General features: G+C 41.7%; 1 long non-coding RNA gene across 1 annotated transcript in view, besides 1 other annotated feature; it reads right to left on the minus strand.

Moving 5' to 3' along the window:
* Positions 1-893: 893 nt before the first annotated feature.
* The window catches only part of LINC03082 (long intergenic non-protein coding RNA 3082), a 145,761-nt gene continuing 125,736 nt past the window's right edge, over positions 894-20,918 (minus strand). Inside the window, exon 5 of the long non-coding RNA NR_187459.1 lies at positions 894-5,762. This is a non-coding gene — a long non-coding RNA (long intergenic non-protein coding RNA 3082). The remainder of the gene's footprint in view (positions 5,763-20,918) is intronic.
* Positions 15,543-15,712: an enhancer, noted in NCBI's record as "experimental_32398 CRE fragment used in MPRA reporter constructs". NCBI's record gives its function as "activates a minimal promoter by MPRAs in K562 erythroleukemia cells, with activity observed for the introgressed 13:110650457 variant allele {active_cell/tissue: K562}" and the evidence as "EXISTENCE:reporter gene assay evidence [ECO:0000049][PMID:34662402]".

Raw genomic sequence — 20,918 nt, forward strand, 5'->3', positions numbered from 1 at the left:
GAGGACAGGTGGGAGGATTAATTGAGGTCAGGAGTTCGAGGCCAGCCTGAGCAGCTCCATTTCTACAAAAAATAAAAAACTAGCCAGGTGCAGTGGCGCACACCTGCAGTCCCAGCTACTCAGGAGGCTGAGACGGGAAGATTGCTTGAACCCAGGTGGCCGAGGTTGTACTGAGCCATGATTGCACCGCTGCACTCCAGCTTGGGCAACACGGCAAGACCCTACCTTCAAAAAAAATCCATTTGATTCTATTTACTTGCAGTAAAATTATCCCTAAATCATTTTTATTGGATGAGATGTAATTAAACTTTACAATATTTCCAGTATCACCACTTTTTTTTTTTTTTTTTTTTTTTTTTTTTTTGCTGGGAGTGTAAAGCTCTCTAAAACAAGATGTAAAACTGACATGGCTCAAGCATGTAAACTGTATGAGCCTCTCGAGCTGACTGTGGGCTGGTGACATGCTAACACCTCCCTCTCAACTATTCCCCAGCAGGTTAAATACGTCTAGCAGAATCTGAGGGGTCTACAGATTGTTATTCCTTGAAAAAAAAATAGGAATTACTATATTACAAGTACTCTCTAAAACTTGACTCAGCACTTAACACCTCCCAGCCATTGTGTTGTATGCGTCTCATCCATTATTTTACCTAAACATCACGCCAGCTCTCTCAGGACAACCATTTCCCCAGTCTTATGTAATACATAAAAAAACTAAGACTTGGAAAATGTGTGGAAGTTATGCAAAATCACAGCTATCCACTTAATTTTTCTGAGCCTCAGTTTCCCCTTCTGATAAGAATTCTCACAACACTATCTCAGAGGGTTGTGATGGAGATCAAATAAAATTGTGTATGGCAGCCCTCTGCACAGTAACTGACACACACTAAGCATTTAATAAAAGCTGCAGTAAACCAGAACGCTTTATTAACTAGAATACACCATGATCCTGAACAGGCCACATAAAAAGAGCTCAAAGAAACATATGCAAAGAATGTGGGCAAATGTATTTTCAGGTTATCGGAGTCTTTAATTACACTCGCAGGGAGATTGAAAGCCTGCTTTCGCAGTGCTTTTGACAGCAGAAAACAAAGTGTGCTTTTTTCTCTCTCTCAGCCCACGGCTCTGTGTGTAAGGGAATGGTGTTTGAGAGCCAATGTTCGAGGAAGTAAGGAATCATTTTGAGGACCCAGATGGGGAGTCGTGGGAATAGGCCAAAAGCTTGTCAAAATTTCAACGTGGTTAAAAAAAAAAATCACAAAAATCACTTAACCACACAAGTTTTAAAGTACATTCTGACAATTTCCTTAAATAAGGGCTGTATCTACAACAGATCTGATTTAAAGTATATTTTATGCATTCAATTGTCGAAAATCAACTCCATTCTGCACAGATTGCCATATTTTTTCATAACAAATGATCAGAGATAGCATTCTTAAGAAAGCCCACCCAGAAGATGTTAATTAAGAAATATTGATATTTTCCCAGGGTTTTCTCATTAATGTCACTCAGTTCATAGAGGCAAACATTCTAATTTGAGGAAGCAAGCAGGAGACTGCACTTTATTTATTCTTTTCACGTATTTCTTCTCAAGTATTTATAACCATTAGAAAAGAAACAAACTTTGCATTTGCATGTTGACAACCAAACAGGACAAATAAGAAATATTTGTCACAATTCTCCACATATCCTAAATAGACTCCAAAGAGGAAGGCACTGAAGGAACTTCTCTAAATATAGTCAAATGGCAAATTAACCTAAAACTCAGCCGAGTAAAGAATAACTTGCTCCTACTTCCTCAACACCTAACCTGAGTTGAGACTAATTGTGCCTCTGTATAAAAAGGCCTGGTGTTTTCTTTGATGGGCTAATATACATGAAACTTTGGCCAGAAATGGTTTTGTGCAAATGGTTTGCATCGCCTGCTCACCAAGTGTTTACATCCACTCCAGGAATAATCAAAGATATTAACCTCTGTGCACACGTCTTCAGCCAATGCTGATATTAACATTTTGAGGAATAGTCTGAATCAAAACAATAAAGCATTTTTCCATTCAACAGATATTTTAGCACCTTCAATGTACAAGCATTCTGCTACGTATTTAGACAAAATAGAGGTGAAAACATCAGTGGCATGTCACTCAGGAACTTGAGATCTAGTTACCAGAGTATACAACTAACTTAAACCTGTACCCCCAGAATATAATGAAGGGCAACAGAAAAGTAAAAGAGTGGTAAGATTTCAAGACGAGAAAAAGACTTTTTTTAGGTAAGTGTGAGTCTTGGCTATCATAGTGGTGATTAGATCCCTGGGTCTGCACGACTTCCCTTCATATTATATAGCCCAGGGTGTGGTCTTTTCATCTTTTAAAAAATTTTTTTTCTTTACTCATATTTGCTGTTGTTGCTGTCATTTCTGTAAGGTAAGGATACTGGAATGGTCTTATTTCATAGACATTAAAGTAATAAAAGCAATTTGTTGACTGAAAATCAACTGCAAATGTTTATTTAGAAAGAACACGTTATGTAAACAAGGAATGAAACCTGATTTTCTAACATTCAGGAGAGTGATTTGGCAACACACAGGAAAACAATAAAAGTAGCCATATTAAAAACTCAGTAGTTCTTCTTTATCACAGAATTTTACTGAAAGATGTGAATGGAGATTAATGTTCACAAGGCTTTAAATATGTCCATTTACATGCTGTTTATAATAGAGAAAAGTTGGAGTAAGCCTGAAAGTCCAGCAGTGGTGGCCTAATTAAGCACATTATTGATATTTGCACTGTAGACTACTCTAGAGCCCCTGAAAATTACATGCTGGAGCACATGAAGTCTCTGAACGAATTCTGAGTTTATATTGTTCAACGCAAAAAGCAAACAGTAATGTTGATTGCAATGTATGTTAATATCTTCAGCTATATGAATAGAGAGAGGAAATGGGGCAGCCATGTTTATCTCCAGGTACTGGGGTCAAAGCCATGGTGGGCATTTCTGTTTATCTGCAGAGATTTTTTTTGTCTTTAGTTTTAATCCATGAATATATATTACTCTAAGGGGGAAAAAACATATCTGTCAAGATAAAAAAAATACTTAGCTCCCAAAGTAAAAGCAAAATCAAACAAAAGCAGATAAAAACAAAAACCCAGAAATATTCATTATATAAACCCCAGATTCCCTCTATGGCTCCAACATGGCCAGACTCCTTCCTTCATCTCCTCTGAAGTATTACAGGTCCTTCGTGCTTACAACTTCATGCCCACTCCTACGGAATTCATAAGCTTCCCAGAAGTGTCGCATCAAACCCTGTGCAAAGTGATTTCCTCCCATAGCCACCCCCACTCACAGCTCAGAACTTGAAAGGACTGAACCTCCATTTCAAGGAAGTCATTCCCAGTGGACTCTCCTGAAACCCTGTGGGTCTTTCCCACCTGGAAGAAGTAGGGTGTAGGGTGGTTTGGGAGATGGTCTTATTTTCAGAGCAACAAGCCCTTTTCCTGCCTCCTCCCACTGCCTGACCCTGGCAGGACGAATGGCTCTCAAGGTAAAAGCTCCACTTGCCTCTCCAAAGGGTCACGACTCATCCATTCCTGGTGGGGATGCTTGTGGGTGACAATCACACTGCCTCCCATTCACTGAGTAATTACAGTTGGAGACATTACAGCTTCAAACACTGAACAACTGAGATTCTGAAAACCCTTAAGACAGGAAAACTATAAACATTAATAATTAATTTGCTTTGACAACTGCTTCTTCCTTTTTCAGGCATTTACAGTCCATCACCTTAAGTGCAAGCACATTGCTCGTAGCATCGCTGAGAACTCCGCAAGGATTAAAAACCAACAAAAAAGGATGCAAATGGCTTACTAGAAGAGATTTACTAGTGGCGGGGGGATTCAGTGAATCCACTATCTACTCTGAAAGAAACATGCTCCTTCCAATCTCTCCTCTGTTGACTGAAATCCACAGATGTCCGAGCCAGCCCTCTGCAGTGCAGATGCAGCCCCCAAAAGACTGGAGCCCCTGCAGTAAGGACATTCAAGCAGTAGCCATCAGAGATGCTTTGAATAATCAACTTTCCACCAACGCAGAAGTAAATGAACGATAAGCAATGTAAACACATAAAGACAGCCAGAAATTGAACAAATAATCACAAACAATGGGAAGCGAAATAAGAAAAAAGAAAAGTAAAGAGGACTAAAGGATTTGGGGTTTCTTTCCGGCTATTTTTATGACTGTTTCTTGAAATCTAGCTATATTTTTGAAAGGGGAGTGGGAGAGAATTTACATTGACTCCGTGTACTCCAGATTTTTTTTTTTACTTCTCCGATTTAACCCTGCACCACTGTGTCTCAAACGAGGAAACTGAGGCTCCAGAAGCCAAACAGCTAGAAAATGATAGAGTTGGACTAAAACAAAGGGCTGTTTCTTGGGCTTGGAAGTCCATCTTCTTTCCATCAGATCACATTGAGATACCTCTCATGGGCTAGTTGTTTGATGATCAAATGAGTTTTCATTCTTGTGTTTACATGGGAAGTGTATGTAAATAAACCAGTCATTTGGGTCCTCTGAATTCATTTTGAAATCTTTAAGCCTGCTTTGCTCTGTGATTTTGCTTCACTATTGGCCTTTGCACTGTGAAAGCACATGCATTTCTTTCTATCCAACAAGCGCAGTAATACTTACTAATGTGCCTGTTTTCCAGTAAGCTATCAGTACATTTAAAATAAAAACCTTAAGGTCCTTTTCACTTAATACCAAGTAGCAACTGAAGACTTAAATGGATTTGTTCTTTCTGCATTCAGCCCACAATGATTGATATTTACCCTTTGGGAGCCACCTTTGCAACCAGGGCTTATGGTGTCATTTTTCTTTACGCATTTAGGGATATGATTTAGTAATGATTATATTCCAACATTTTAAATGATTAAGACAAATATTGCTACTGTTTTGTTTCTAAAGATTGATGAAGAATTTGATATTCAGTATATCACACAGTCTACATATATAAACATGGTAGTCTGCATATATAAACATAATAGACAATATTTGGTATAAAATTTAGTTCCACGTTGAAGGGCATCAGCTTAGTGATTCCATGAGTCAAAAGTTCACTTTTCTGTTTCTCCGGTTTCTGACACTCGGTTCTTCTGCAAAGGTGGAGGTCCAGGATATCTTCTGCCTCTCAGCTCTTTACTTGAGAAACACCCAAGGCTGGCCCCTGCCGAGCTCTGCAGGAAGACTTCAAGTGCAGTAGGGCCCCTCTGTGCAGCCAGGGCCCACAGGTGATGCTGCCACACATTTTCGTCTTATTCCTTGATAATGAGAAGTATTTGGAGATGCAGAGAGCTCCAGCATGGATAGTGCAGGCTAAAGAGGCAGTTTGAAGAAGTGGTACCTGGGGATTTGCTCTGAGCCCCAAAGCCATGTGAGGTGAGAGCCTTTCACAGGGGTGAGCCTGGTGACTCCACAGCTGTTATGTCAGCAGAGGTCAAAGAGGGCAATTCCTGACTTGTCAACCAATACCATATCCACAACGGCAGGAAAAAGGAAGTCCGTTTTTGTGAAGACAATGTAGACAAAGGGCAGCAAGAGGCTCCCAGCTCAGACATTGGAAAGGGACAAAATAGACCATTTCTTTTCATCTCCCCTTCTGTGTGTGCCCCGTCCCTCTCTTCTTTAGCTTCTCCGCCCATAGCTTGTCTTCCTAGACCTGATCAGCTGGTCACAGCGATAAGGTTGGCCAACAGAATCTCTTCCCCCTGTCAACACACAGGAAATACCAGTCAGTACTTTCTCTCTGAAGGCCATCTTCATCATATCACTCTATTGTTCAAGAAATAGTCTTGAGTCCCCACTATCTTCTAAAAGTATAAACTCTTTAGTCCAGTTCTCAAGATTCTCCATAATCTAGTTTTACTGATCTAGCACTCTCTTTTTCCACCAGGCTGTCAAATTTACTTGGGGTACAGGGGCTTCTTCAACGAGTTTCATTGGAAATCCCACTTATGTGTTGTGTCTATAATGGTTTTATTAAAAAGCCTTCCAAAGCACAGCTTTGAGATGGAGAGCAGAGTTCTGTACTATAATCAGCAATGCTCTAGTTAGGTTGTTGGTGCTGCCTGTGAAATTTAAATCTCAAGACAATAGCTGATGTTCCTCATGTGAAGGTTGTCAAAAGACCCAGGCTGTGAAATGTGGACAGAAAGACACCATGTTACAGCAAATGCATGGGGAGCAGACTGTCAAGAGTCTAGAATATCAGGGTTCAAGATCTTTGATTGTGTTTGGTTCAATTATAATACACCTACTATTCATAAAGCACTATGCTTTTGTGTTTGGGACTCAGGCAGAATGGACACAATCTTCCTTATTTTGCAATATGGAGCCTAGACTCTGGGTTTCCCAATCCTTGGGCCAGAAGCAGGCAGAACTTAGACCCTTTGCTCCAGACACAGCACAGGTGTGGGAAGGAGGCCAGGGGAGAACCCAGCTCTTTGAAACAGGCCACCAACTCCAGCTGCCATTCCAAGTACAAAGAAAGGCTCTGGAGAGACTACCCAATGCTTACCTAGTTCCTTAAAAGAATTTTAATTCCCTGTTTTGCTACAATATTTTCCACATAATCCCATCCTCATCCCCAGATAGCTATCTGTTATTTTTACTATTTTATGTTCATTTAAGTTTCTTCTGATAATGACATCTTAATTTTTCTCTAGGTTACAAATCACCTTTTCTTAATCTCAAGTCATGAAATTTCCAGTAGGATCGATCCCAGCTCCAGCTCCCTGGGGTGCAGTAGTTTGTAATTCATTCCTTCCCAATGGGCAGATTGCCTTCCCTCGGCCATGGCTAGGACCACCATGATTCACTCTGACTCATGCACAGCAAATGAAAGTGTTACTGAGGCTGCTGAGAGACGGGGCACTCTCTTTGCTCTGTGAGATTTGAATGGGCAAAGCCGGTGGTGGTCCTGTTTTCACTGCACAAATCTGAAAATGAAGCCAACATTGGGCATAATAGATCCAAGAGATATCAAGAAACTGCATCTTGATGACATAAATTGGGCCCTGAATCCAGCCATGTATGAAGTCAGAGTTACCCATATACTTTTTTTTTATAGGGGATATTAATTTCCCTCATTTTCTTTAATCCAGGTAATTTTCTCTTTTTAATCTCTTGCAAATATTGACACAGATGTTTTGGAATGATGTACAGCAATCACTAAAGGCAGCCATGCTCACCACCCAAAGACACCCATGGACTTTGGTGACCATGTCCTGGCTTTGGTGACCTGCTCTGGACGCAGCCAATCCCCAGCTCCAGTCACCTGAAACTGGCCTGCCAGAGTTCTCATGCAACCCCTGCTACAAATCCCTATGTCCCTGGAATATATGACAATGCAACCCAGCTCACGTGACCCAGTTTCATGTGTCATTCTAAAAGAATGAGCATCCAAAGATTAAACTATCAAAAATATTTATTCAAAAAGAAACAGAAACCAGAAAGTGGAGTGTTTAGAATAAAATTTTTAAAAAAGAATGGTAGCGACTAGAAATCCCTAAATGCATCTCCCAGTAGAAAATATTCCAAAGTCAACCAAGCTCATGGGAAAATGCTACTGATAGTGATTTTACTGAGCTCCTATTTGCAGTTCTATCCCCTAAGTTCCCTAAGTTTTTTTTAATTATTATTATATGGCTCTGTCTTCATTTCAGGCACATAACAATGAAAGCAGTTGATATATCTTAGATATGTATGAATTACATATAAAGTAATCCTGATTAAGGCTGAAGGCTTTAATTAAATGAGCAATGAGCTTTGAGCATGGATGTTCATACAAAAAGAAAATAAGTTAATTAATTTGGACAATTATTTGCTCCTGTGAACAGTGGCCTGCCCTGGGCTTTGTGCTGCACCAGAAGTCTTACATACTGCAGTGAAAGATGGCGGAATGGCAGGGGACGGACAGAGCTCTGCTGGGGAGAGGCTCTGGCTTCTCACCACCAGTTAGGAAAGGCTCAGCCTGCAAGTTAGCACCTCTTCACCATCCATCGTCCACCCACACGGACACCTGACACCTAGACTGCAAGCTGACCTGCCCCACCTCGAAAGGCGCTCAGTACTTCACCTGGCCCCACCTGCTGTCTGACTGTACTAGATGATGGAGTTATGCTGAAGGAGATAAGGAGAGAAAGAGACAGAGATGGAAAGAGAGACACATAAGAGGGAGAAAGTGAGAGCATGTGAGAGACAGAGAAAGAGAAAAAGAGAGACATAGAGAAAGAAAGAGACACAGAGAGAGACAGAGAGACAGAACATTGTGGATATATTCATGGAAGTCAAAACAACGTTAAGAAGTGAGGTGACAGTTTAGTCTCTTTCTGAAAGATATTAGTTACACTTGTGGTAATGTTGGCTAGTTTTCAGTTTTGTAAGTCTTAAAGGGAGGTAATTATATAACTTTCTTTTCTCCAGGGTTTATAGATTACAGCTTGCTAAGTCATCACTTTAAAATACATGTATGCTTTTCCAGTCTAGAACCTATAAGAAGTGAGTTAAAAAAAAAAAAAAACAGGAGTAAAACTTGCAAGAGTAATTCAGATTAGACCATTTCTTCCTATACACCCTTACACATGCACACGTGATTATTTTTAAACTCATTTCCCTGAAAGTAATATTCTAGCCTAGCAGAGGCCAGGGTGAGTTAATTCAGGATTCAAGGATGCTTGCCTTAGAGTAGGTCATCAAAACTACTGAGAATGATTAAGAACAATAAATGAGAAAAGGAATGGATGGATGGGTTACAGGCATAACATTGGAACTGAAAGACCCCATACTCTGTGTCATAATAATAACCATGATCAAATCACCAATATTTAGTGTTTACTCAAATAATACAAACACAAATATTCAAGAGGGGATATGAGAAAATGTTTCTGAAGAAATACAAATTATAATTAAAATGTAATGTCATTTCCCTTATTAAAGTAATAAATATTTTAAATTAATAATAATTTATATTATTATTAATATGTTATTTTTAAATTAATAATACTTGTTATTGTTTACAACTATAAATTGATATCTGGCATTTCCTTATATTGATGGTCAGCATGAAAATTTACCCCAAATTTCTCAAATGTAAATATAATTTCATCAATCTCACTTCTTGGAATCCATCCTAAGGAAAAGCTGTTAAATACACAAAGCACTTAAGGCACAAAAGAGTCCATCAATGATAGACTGGATTAAGAAAATGTGGCACATATACACCATGGAATACTATGCAGCCATAAAAAAGCATGAGTTCATGTCCTTTGTAGGGCCATGGATGAAGCTGGAAACCATCATTCTCAGCAAACTATCACAAGAACAAAAAAACCAAACACCGCATGTTCTCACTCACAGGTGGGAATTGAACAACAAGAACTCCTGGACACAGGAAGGGGAACATCACACACTGGGGCCTGTTGTGGGGTGGGGGGAGGCGGGAGGGATAGCATTAGGAGATATAGCTAATGTAAGTGACAAGTTAATGGGTGCAGCACACCAACATGGCACATGTATACATATGTAACAAACCTGCATGCTGTGCACATGTACCCTAGAACTTAAAGTATAATAAAAAAAAAGTTCATTTCAGATTCATAATCACTAATATTTTAAAATGAGGATTAAGAGAAATGTATGTTAATATGGACACACACAAGATACACTGTTAGGCCATTTTAGAAGCAGGTCTTTGTATGCAAATGGACATCAATATGAGTGGAATTATGTAGGACAAACAAACAAATAAAACTCATCCAAACAGAAGAACTAAAAACAAAACAGACCAAGGTGCTTATGACATACAGGTGGCAGAACCATGGCTGACTTTTCCCTTTCCTCTTTTCAATTTTTCCAGTTCTAGCACTGTGTATTGCAAGAGCTGCCCAAATGCTTAGCCCAACTTCAGGCTCATCTTAACTTGGCCACTTTCCACACTGCAAATGGCATTAACTATTTCAAACTCAGAACGTTAGGTAACTTTCCCTATGAAAAATGCTGCTGTCTTTCCATTGCTTATTCTACAAGGTCCCCCCTCCTCAGGCTGCTCCAGATGGCCCATCTTACTAGGGCTCTGCCTTCCATTTTAGATGAATTCCCCTACGGCTGCCGGGTTCTGTAGGCTGACACTTATGGCTCCAGTGACCCGAGATGACATATATCACCACTGGCCTCACTTCACTTATTCATTCCATCCTCCTATCTCTGTGGGAGGATGCGTTATCATTATTCCAGCTTCCCACTTACAGAAACCAAAGCTCAGAGCTCTTGGGTGACACCCCTGTCCTATCCAGCACACAAAGGACAGAACTGTGTCCTACCCAGCACATCTAGGACAGAACTTAGGGCCATCTGATTCCAAACCAGTCCAGTCTTCCATTCCCACCACAGTTCCAAGTATGCGCTGTGTACCTCTAATTCCATTTTTGGCATCTGTTAGTTCCTCTTCCAGGAATGCCCTTCAACTTCGCTTCTCAGCAAACTTCTACCCAGTCTTCAAGTTCTGGGTCCAGCTGTCCTCGATATCTTTGTGGCACATTTTCAGATCACTCCAAACAAAATGAGCTGTTCCCTCCTTTGTGAACCCATACCCCTTGGATTTTAAATCTATTCAATCATTCACTTTGGCCAATGTTTAGGGAAAGTCCTTTATTCAGCTTTGTCTCCTATTAGTTTGAGAGGTAGGGATGATTTCTTATTTGCTTATTTTTTGAGCACCTGATACGGTTTGGCTGTGTCCCCACCCAAATCTCATCTTGAATTGTGGTTCCCATAATCCCTATGTGTCGTGGGAGGGACCCACTGGGAGGTGATTGAATCATAGGGGCAGTTTCCCCTATGCTGCTGTTCTCATGATAGTGAGTGAGTTCTCACGAGATCTGATGGTGTTATAAGCGGCTTTTCTCCCTTTTGCTCGGCACTACAAGGTCGAGTGAAGAAGCCGTATAAAGAAGCACATGTTTTCTTCCCCATCCGCCATGACTGTAAGTTTCCTGAAGCCTCCCAGCCATGCTGATCTGTGAGTCAATTAAACCTCTTTCCTTTATAAATTACCCTGTCTCAGGTATGTCTTTATTAGCAGTGTGAGAACAGACGAATACAGCACCCATTAGAGTCTTGGGGCATAGGCAATATTCAATACATGTTTGTAGAATTAATGAATGAAAGGAGTCAGTCCAGCTGTTCACATTACTTTCTTTAGTATCATCATCATCTGCAAACACACAGCCTACCAACCTGGGTGGAAATAAAACAAATTTTAACATGGAAGCAACTTTTCTCCATTCTTATCATTATTGATAATTCTTTGGGCCTATATATTTCAGAGTAATTAAATATTTTTCTTCTTTTTGTGTTCAAAATCAGACTTAGGGGAAAAATAGGAATGAATATCATCATCATAAAGAAGCTTTTCTGTGTTATAGGATGAAGTGCCTTCTTCTCATCTGGAGGGATGACGTTCCGTGCTCTGTCAGGGGCTTTCCAGGAGAAAGCCCAGAATGATGCTGTTTAGTCTCATTTAGGCTCAAGCCTCTTCACAGAGGGGTGCTTCTCCGGTTCAGAGGAAGGCGAACTGATCTGAGAACGAAAACAAGCTGAAGATGATGAAGGAGCCAGGCTGGAAGTAAACAGGATCTCACATGCCCACTCTGCAAGAGGGCCAGACAGATGGCTAACTCAAGGGAGGACATCCATGGAAAGAGCCCAGGACTTCATGTTTTCCAGCCTTGGCACCAACAAAATGGCCCTGCAATGAAGGGTGTCCCCCAGGAGCTCTTGCACACGCAGGGTGGTCACAGATCACTGGACCCTCACCACTGTGCAGGCATTAGGGGTTCCACCTATCAGGGAATAACTTGACAGCAACTGCTGAAAATCTCTTTCCAAATCTAAAAGTTCAGTTGGAAATTCTTTACGGTAAATTATTTGTTCATTTCTGTTTTGTGAAAAACAGAATAAAAATGGATTAGCTGCTTTTCAACAAAAAAGGTCATTACCCAGACTTATGGTCCAATTTTCCATTTCCTGCAAAGTTCTCACTCCGAGGAACTGGCACTGGAGGTATTTTGGCTAGACAGAGGTTCTGTCCTTGCCATTATCTATGTTCAAACATTAAAACATGTTACTGAAGGATGATGCAGAACTAAAAAAGAAACATGAATTTCTCTTGGGTCTCTAATACCTAAGCAAAACTTCCTAGGGACCTGAAGATACTACATGATTTCAAATTCTCTCTTTTGTGCTTCAGAGCCCAGTGTTAGAGTGGAATGACTCTATCAACGTTGTACATGGTACTGTACTCACAACACGGTTTTCTTCTCTGTCAAGCCCATCTAGAGAGCTGGACTAATTTTGCATACTTCCCTGGCCTGTCACTCAAGTTTGGTGAGTCTCTGCTTTCTTTATTCACATCCCACAGTTCCTGCCATCGAGTTAAGACTGTTCTGAGTCCTGTAAAAAGGAAATGGATGAACTGACTTCTGAGTTGGTCAAACGTTCTGTTTTTAGGCAACTTGGAAAATTTCAAGACTGCATGATGGATGATGCGTACAGAAGCCATGGCAATGCCTTTGTCCATAAAGCACATCTCTTCAAACCTCATACTTTGGAAGAAAGTTGCTTCTGCTGTAAATACAAAATGGTTTTACAAAATAGTTTGTAAAACTGTGCGTCTGAATAATTGAAGTAGGTAAATAAAAACTTTATAATGTATACTTATTCAAAAGCTCTTATTTTTAAAAATCACAGCAAATTTTGATTCCATTATACTCTGGAAACCCAGGTGAGCACCTTAGGATGCTTGTCCACATGGAGCTCATGGTGCCAAATGTCTCATCCCCCTAAGGCAGTGGTCCCCAGCCCTGGGCCATGGGCCAGTACTGTGGCCTGTTAGGAATCGGGCCATACAGCAGAAGGTGACTGGTGGGTGAGCACGCATGGCCGCCTGAGCTCCACCTCCTATCAGATCAGCGCAGCATTAAATTCTCATGAGAGTGTGAACTGTGTGGTGAACTGCACATGTGAGGGATCTGGGTTGCGCGTTCCTTATGAGAATCTAATGCCTGATGATCTGAGGTGGAGCTGAGGCAGTGATGCTAGCTAGCACTGGGGAGCAGCTGCAAATACACATTAACATTAGCAGAGAGGTTTGACTGCACAGTGACCGTAATAAGTCAACTGCTTGCAGACTCATATCAAAACCCTCTCAGTGAGTGGCAAGTGATAATTAAGCTGCAGGTTTTGTAGTGGCAAGTGAGTTGATATACTTCAATGCAGTTGCATCTGATGGCAGGCTTTAAGTCAGAATCCGACACTTATTTTAGTCCATACATGGCCTGCCTATTATTTTATTTACCACTTCCATCCACACCTCTTTCCCACACTGCACACTTGTCTCAGTCACAGTTTTGATCAGCCCACAAGCTAACCCCAGCCAAAATGAGTAGAAAACAAACATCACTGGAGAGCTTCTTTGAAAAGGGGAAAAGAACCAATGATGAGACAGCAGAAGACTCTCAGTCTGCCAACGAAAAGAAAGCTGCATTTAAAAGAAAATACCAAGAGTCCTGCTTAAATTCCCCGTTCATTGCAACAGGTGATTCACATTCTCCAAGCCTGCTTTGTACACTGTATGGCGACCAGCTATCCAAGGAGGTCATGAAGCTTCAAAACTGCATTGCCACGTAGGGACTGAGGACCCTGCATTAAAAGGCAAACATTTGGAGTTTTTCAAAAGAAAAAAAATGTTAAACAAAGAACAGAAGCAATTATTCAAGGCCACAACTTCATCATTCAAACACGTCTCCACTGAGAGCATCATTCCTAGTGGCTAACCACATTGCTAAAGCTAAGAAGCCCTTTACTATTGGTGAAGAGTTGATCCTGACGGCTGCTAGGGATATTTGTCATGAACATTTAGAGCAGGCTGCAGTTCAAGAGGTGGCATGTGTTCCTCTTTCGGGTAGCACCATAACTAGATGAACTGAAGAAATAGCAGAGGATACTGAGGCACAATTCTTAGAGAGGATTAATGAGGCACTGTGGTTGACAAGTCTACCGATGTTGACCACAAAGCTAATAATGCTTGTTTCTGTGTGATATATTTTTCAGGAGGACGTGCATGAGGATATGTTATGTGTGCTTTTGTTTCCAACCAACACCACAGCTGCAGAACTATTCAGGCCTTCGAATGGTTACATATCAGGAAAACTGAATTGGTCATCTTGTGTCGGTATATGCACAGACAGAGTCTGTCTGGATGGCTTTATAGTTTCATTACTCAGGTCAAAGAGGTCAGTTCTGAACGTGAGTCTGTGCATCATCCATAGAGACATGCTGGCTAGCCGAAAAATGTCACCTGAACTTAAGAACATTTTGCAGAATGTGATTAAATTTAGCAACGACATGCCCTTAGCTCACGTCTGTTCTTGCAGCTCTGTGAGGAGATGGACGCAGAGCACACACGTCTTCTCTGATACACAGAAGTGAGATGGCTTTCTAAAGGTAGCTCACTGGCCAGAGTCTTTGAGTTATGAGAACAGCCCCAGAGATTTCTTTTAGAAAAACAGTCACCACTGGTGGCACATTTCAGTGACACAGAATGGGTTGCAAAACTTGCTTACTTGTGTGACATATTCAACCTGCTCAACAAACTCAATCTGTCACTTCAGGAGAGAATGACAACTGTGTTCGAGTCGGCAGATAAAGTGGCCGCATTTGAAGCCAAACTGGTATTACGGGGGTGATGAGTGAACACTGGGATTTCTGACATGTTTCAAACATTAGCAGAGATTTTGAAAGAGGCTGAGCCAGGGCCTTCTTTCCCCCAGCTGGTGCATGATCACCTACCTCAGCTTTCAAAAGAGCTTGAGCATTACTTGCCAACCACAAAAGACCCCGGAAGTGGGAAGGAATGGATCCACAACCCATTTGTGAGTAAGCCAGGTGAATCAACTTTGTTTGTGCTAGAAGAGGATCAACTGCTTGAGATTGCAAATGATGGTGGCCTTAAAAGTATGTCTGTGGCAACTTCAAATCTCCATACATTCTGGATTAAGGTCAAGGAGGAACATCTTGAGATTGCCACAAAAGCATTGAAAAGCCTGCTTCCATTTCCAACATCCTATCTTTCTGAAGCAGGGTTTCTGCAGCGACAGCAACCAAATCAAAAATACAGAGTAGACCAGACATAACCAACACAGTTGGGTGCCACCGTCTCCCATCACCCCCAGATGGGACCGTCTAGTTGCAGGAAAACAAGCTCAGGGCTCCCACTGATACTACATTATGGTGAGTTTATAATTATTTCATTATATACTACAACGTAATAATCATAGAAATAAAGTCCACAATAAAAGTAATGTGCTTGAAACATCTGGAAACCATCCCCCCACCTCAGTTTGTGGAAAAACTGTCTTCCATGAAATTGGTTCCTGTTGCCAAAAAGTCTGGGGACTGCTGCCTTCAGGTTACTATGGGTCAGAAGACCTTGCCATCTTTTGCCAAAGTTTGCCTTTCTGTTGTTTCCTAAAGCATAGGCAATAAATGTAATAACTTATGAATGGTATGTTTAACATGCTTTTGGTAATCTTGTCTTATGAAGAGAAATAAATGTGCTCCAAATTCTTCCACAAGCAAAAGAATCAGATCAGTAATTTCCTCTGGGAGTGAGAGGGGTGGACTTGGCTGGGAGAAGTGGGAGAGAACTGTCTGGGTCATAGTGCTAATGTTCTTATCTATTCTGGTAAAGGTTGGGTAACATAGATGTATTCATGGGTCAAAACTGATTTCAGAGTGTTGATTTACATTAAAACCTGTAAACAAAAACTGAACTCTAGTTAATGGTATGTATGTTGAAGTGTTAAGGGAAAGTGTAAAGAAATGCAAGATGAATGAACGGTTGGAGCTACAGATAGAAAGAAGGGTGATAAAGCGAGTATAGTCTAGTGTTGATGGTAGAATTAAACTTAAATGGTGTCCATACAGGTGTTGAATAAAACCCCCTTGACTTGCTGTCTGCATGATTTAAAAATTTTAAAACAAAATGTTGGAAAAAGTCATCTCACTTCATAACATCAGGTTATAAACTTCAATGCGAACTTCCTCTTAATGCAAAACCTTCTGCCCATTATAAAAAAAAATGTATATATTGCCTGAGACACAGCATTAAGTTAAATTTACAGAGAAAAGGAATATGTCAGTCTCCAAGAATCTTACGGGTGAGTGGAGACAAGATTTATATCTGTACACCTCCCTTTAAAAACAAACAGCAAAGTTTGTGTTTGCAACCTGTTACTGGAGTTTAAATTTTCCAACAGCCTCTTTCTCCTGAATGCTGAAATACCCTGGGGGGAAAAACCCAGGCAAGTTTGACTTAACCACTTAGAGAAAAGTCCACTTGGTGCAATAACTAGCCCCAGGGTTTATCAAGCAAATATCCCCACTCTGCCTGACTCATTCCAAGGTATTTGTTCAAGGCATCGTCCTGTGTAATGCAATTGGTCATATCACACGCTTCAGTACTTTTTTTTTTCTTTTTACCATGCATCCCTTTTCTTGTACACTGACCTACTGAGAGGCTCTTCCTGACAGATCAGCTATGAGACTGCACTGGTCTACATCCCTTCCACTCCGTCCTCTCTCATCATCTGCCTTGTTCCTGAGAAGATGTGTTTGATGAGTAATTCCAATACAGATCTTGCACTGTTGGCTGACTTCTCCAACTTGTTAATTAATTCATAAAATGGTTTTCTGTTAATTAAAGAGGAAAGGGCTCCATCTAGCTGTTTGGGAGACAGAAAATGCATCCCAGGATTGACAGCAGGAAGGGGCTATGTGAGTTACCCTGTTCCTCTTTTTTTAGATGACATCTGTGGAAAACAATAAACTTCACTTCCTTTCTTAAAACAGTGGGAAATGCAGACATCTGCTATTTGCAATAACTAAATCCTAACTCAAGATATTTTCGAGCAGAACTTGATAAATGTCCTGAACTTCTGCAATGCAACCCCAAATTTCAATCATATTTATTCTTTTTCTCTCCCCTTCATGTATTTTAAGGAGAGTATCTGGCATGCTCACCAAAATCTGCAAAGAAACACACATGCAAAGTTGGTAAATATTGTAGTTCAGTTATATGAATTCCCAGCAAGTGTGTAAGAAGAAAATCAACCCAATTTGCAAAAGGACCTCACAGAGCTGAGGCTGGGCTGAGCACTGTCACTTTCCGTAGCTTGCGAGGTCTCTGTGCCACTGTCAACCAGGTACAGTGTCCCTGTCAGCTGGCCCTAGAAGGCTGTGCATGGATAACCAGGCTTATTTGCCAAGGGACACCTTGGCATGGAACACAAAGGGCACATCACAGGATAACCTGCTGTAGCATGATTGGCTTCAGAGTAGCTCTGATATCAAACCGATAGTCAGGTGCTGGGGCAAAGAGCTGCGATTTCTCAAAGATTCCTGCAGTGAGCTCGGAGGCTGCATTGCAGGAAGAAATAACAGCCAAGGAGCCCTGGCTATGATGCTGCAGAGAGTCAGGAAAAACAGGGAACATTGACCTGGAACGTCCCAGTGAGCGTGGAATGTGTTGAGCATTGGATGCGAGGCCCCTGAGCTGTTGGAGGGTCTGGTGCTCTGTGTGTGCAGACGGCATGCAAGTGCAGGCACATGTTCTGTATGCCGTTTTGGGAGAGGCGGCAGAGGTGCTGCTCAGAAAAGGCTGTGTTCAAATAGGATTTGCAGAAGAGACGCCCAGGAATTGTAAGAATTCAGCAGACTCTCTCAGAGCTGCCCCCAGGCACTCGTTTCCAAAGAGCATGGAGCCCGAGGTTCTCTCCACCCTGCGACTGAGTTCGCTTTTTACCGGAGATAAAGGTCCAGGTAACATTAGGTCGCCTACCCTATAGATAACAAGCAGCCACTCAGGTTCATTTCAGTCACTTCTGTGTCCCCTACAAGATTCTCTCTACTGCCGCAGGCAGCGGGAAGCCGGAAAAGTAAGCCTGTGTCTCTGCAGGAGCCACCTAACTGCACCAGGACTCACGGAGAGGGAAATGAAATGACACCAACTCTGAGTGAATAGGAGTTCCGACGCAGGAGAACCAGTGTGAATGGAAGTAGGACGAGATAACATAAAATTAATTTCTTTCCATTGAAAAGTCATATGGAATTTTACCTTACTGAACCCATGATCTCAAGAAAATTTCCTGCTGTTTTCCTCTGAAATGCTTGTCAGATACTAATTCAACAGCACACGAGAGGATGACAGAGCAATCACCATCTTCAGCTTAGCTTCAGTGTCAAGACGTCGCATTGCTGTCGTGAGACAGCGCTGCTCAAGTTGAATTATTTGACATATGAAGAAACTGGAATCTATGAACTGACTGACTCACCCAGGTTTGCTGTTTGTGGCAAAAGTGCAGTTGCAGTCCTGGCATCTACACTCCTGTCTTGGTCTGAGGATCTTCTGAAGAGGGCCCAAGGCAGGGATTCAAAGGCCAGGAGTTTACTTGGAAGATCCTCCTGGAGAATAAGGACTAAACTAAGCAGGGAAGTAAAGGAAGCTGAAGAAGTGTGCATAACCAGGCGTGCTGCCACCGTGGGCAACTGGAGATTCATTCTGCTGGGACCCGTGTCAACTGGACAACTCAGAGTTGTCTCATCCAAGGGGTGAGGGAGAGGAGGCATTTATCTACCAACTCCTAACAGTTCTTGGTTTGGAGCTGAACTGGAGGTGAAGAGCCTCAGTATCTCCCACCTATTGTAGAAACAGCAAATCCCTAGGAACCAGGAGAAGCCCCCAGGCACAGAGATGCAGGTGCCAGCCATTGAAGTTATGTCGCATGTGCTAAAATAACAAAAGCCAAAGAAATGGGGCAGCTAAAACTCCTAACTCCAGTCTGTGTCTGCATTTTAATGGATCAGAAATGTACTATGGCCAGGTACAGTGGCTCACACCTGTAATCCCAGCTCTTTGGGAGGGCAAGGTGGGGGAAGATCACTTGAGGCCGGGAGTGCAAGAAATGTATTGTGGCTTACAACAAAATCTATCTCCTTTCTTTGTCCATACAGATTGAGAAAAGGGAAGACCATTTATTCCTCTAATCTACAACTCAGCTCTTTTTCCCCTCAAGTTTAGCTCTGATAGGCAGACTCTCAAAAATGTTACCCCTTAAAGAGAGGATGCTTACTACCCATGAAATTACCCAAATAATTCAGGAAAGTATGATCAGACAAGGAGAATGAAAATGACTTCAGTTCCAGTGTTGTTATAAAATGTTTTACGTCCAAATTCCTCAGATATGAGTCAGATTATGTGAGTACTGCAAGAAAAATATACATTTATGTCTTTTTCACAGCAAACTTCATGGCAATTAAGTCAAATAAACGCTTAAGGGATCTCAGTCCTGTTTTTTTTGTTGTTGTTATTGTTGGATATTGGAGGAGAAGGTGGAGGATGTCCTCTAACTGTGAACAGTAGAATGGGACCTGCTGTCTTTTAGATCAGCAATGTCCAAGAGTAAGATGCGTCAACATCTATAACCCATCGAATTCCCCAGTGCTTAGTCAAAAAGAAGACGTGGCGGTCAAGGAAGAGACCATGTAGGTACTAGAGTAAAAGTGGAGAAGATGGCCCCGAATAATAAAAGAGTGAGGATTTTGTGTAGGTCTTAAAAGCAAATAGCAAGGGAGTGTGTGTACAGGAAGACATGAGACACAGGGAACAGGAAGAGTTATCCCACGATGGCAGGGAGAGGGATGTGCCTGTGAGCCTGAGAATGACATGGAGCCTGGGGGTGGAGATGGGGGACGTGGGGAGGTGGCCCTTCACAGAGTAATGTGTGAGATTTTGACTGTGGCTTTGACACCCGGGCAGAGGACTTTTGTGCAGGGGATGCTGAGGATGGACTGTGCAGACCCAGACCCTGGGTCCCGAGGAAACGATGCCTGGGATTTACAGGAAAATAATGGCTGGCCCCAGAATCCCAGGTCTCATTCACCAAAATTCAAACTAATTTAAGTTCTCCATGCTGTCAGCCTTAACAGAAAACTTTTCATTTCAAAGTTTACCATTTGCATGTGTAGCACGTGTGAACTCCCATATTCACACTCCAAATAGCTGTGAGTGCCCCACAGAGGAAAGCTTAGTGCTCTGAAGGGGTCACAAGTAGGTCCAGGCTATTTCATTCCCCATACGCTAAGGCCCTTCTGTCGCCGTACAATTTTACTATTTGACATTAAAAAAGTAATGTTTGTCCATGTATACCGCTCCTGTGAAAGTAAGACAGAGCTGTTTCCCAAACAATTACAATTTGTACTCCATGTACAAATCAGAGTATTAAGGGGTCATATTTTTGTTCCTTCCAGCATCCATAAAATCTCAGAAGCATGTCATACCCACCAATGTGTTCTCTCCTGTCATCATAACTCATCGTCTTATTAATAGGCTGATGCTCTCTGTAGATGCGCAGAAAAATGAGAACGTCAGTCCCCAACACAACTGCAATCTTTTCTTCTGAGTTCCTTCAATTAGGAGCAAAACAAAGGCATGCTTTTTCTTTAACTATCTGTTATAGTGAGTTGAGGCTCTATGGGTATAACTTTAAAATTCTACTCATTTCCGACTGGGTGCAGTGACTCACGCCTGTAATCCCAGCACTTTAGGAGGCTGAGGCAGGTGGATCGCTTGAGGTCAGGAGTTCGAGACCTGCCTGGCCAACATAGTGAAACCCCGTCTCTACTAAAAAGACAAAAAAAAAATTAGCAAGGCATGACGCTGCATTCCTGTAATCCCAGCTACTGGGGAGGCTGAGACAGGAGAATTGCTTGAACCCAGGAGACGGAGGTTTTAGTGAGCCGAGATCGGG

Source organism: Homo sapiens, chromosome 13, assembly GCF_000001405.40.
Source record: "Homo sapiens chromosome 13, GRCh38.p14 Primary Assembly".
NCBI classification, from domain to species: domain Eukaryota; kingdom Metazoa; phylum Chordata; class Mammalia; order Primates; family Hominidae; genus Homo; species Homo sapiens.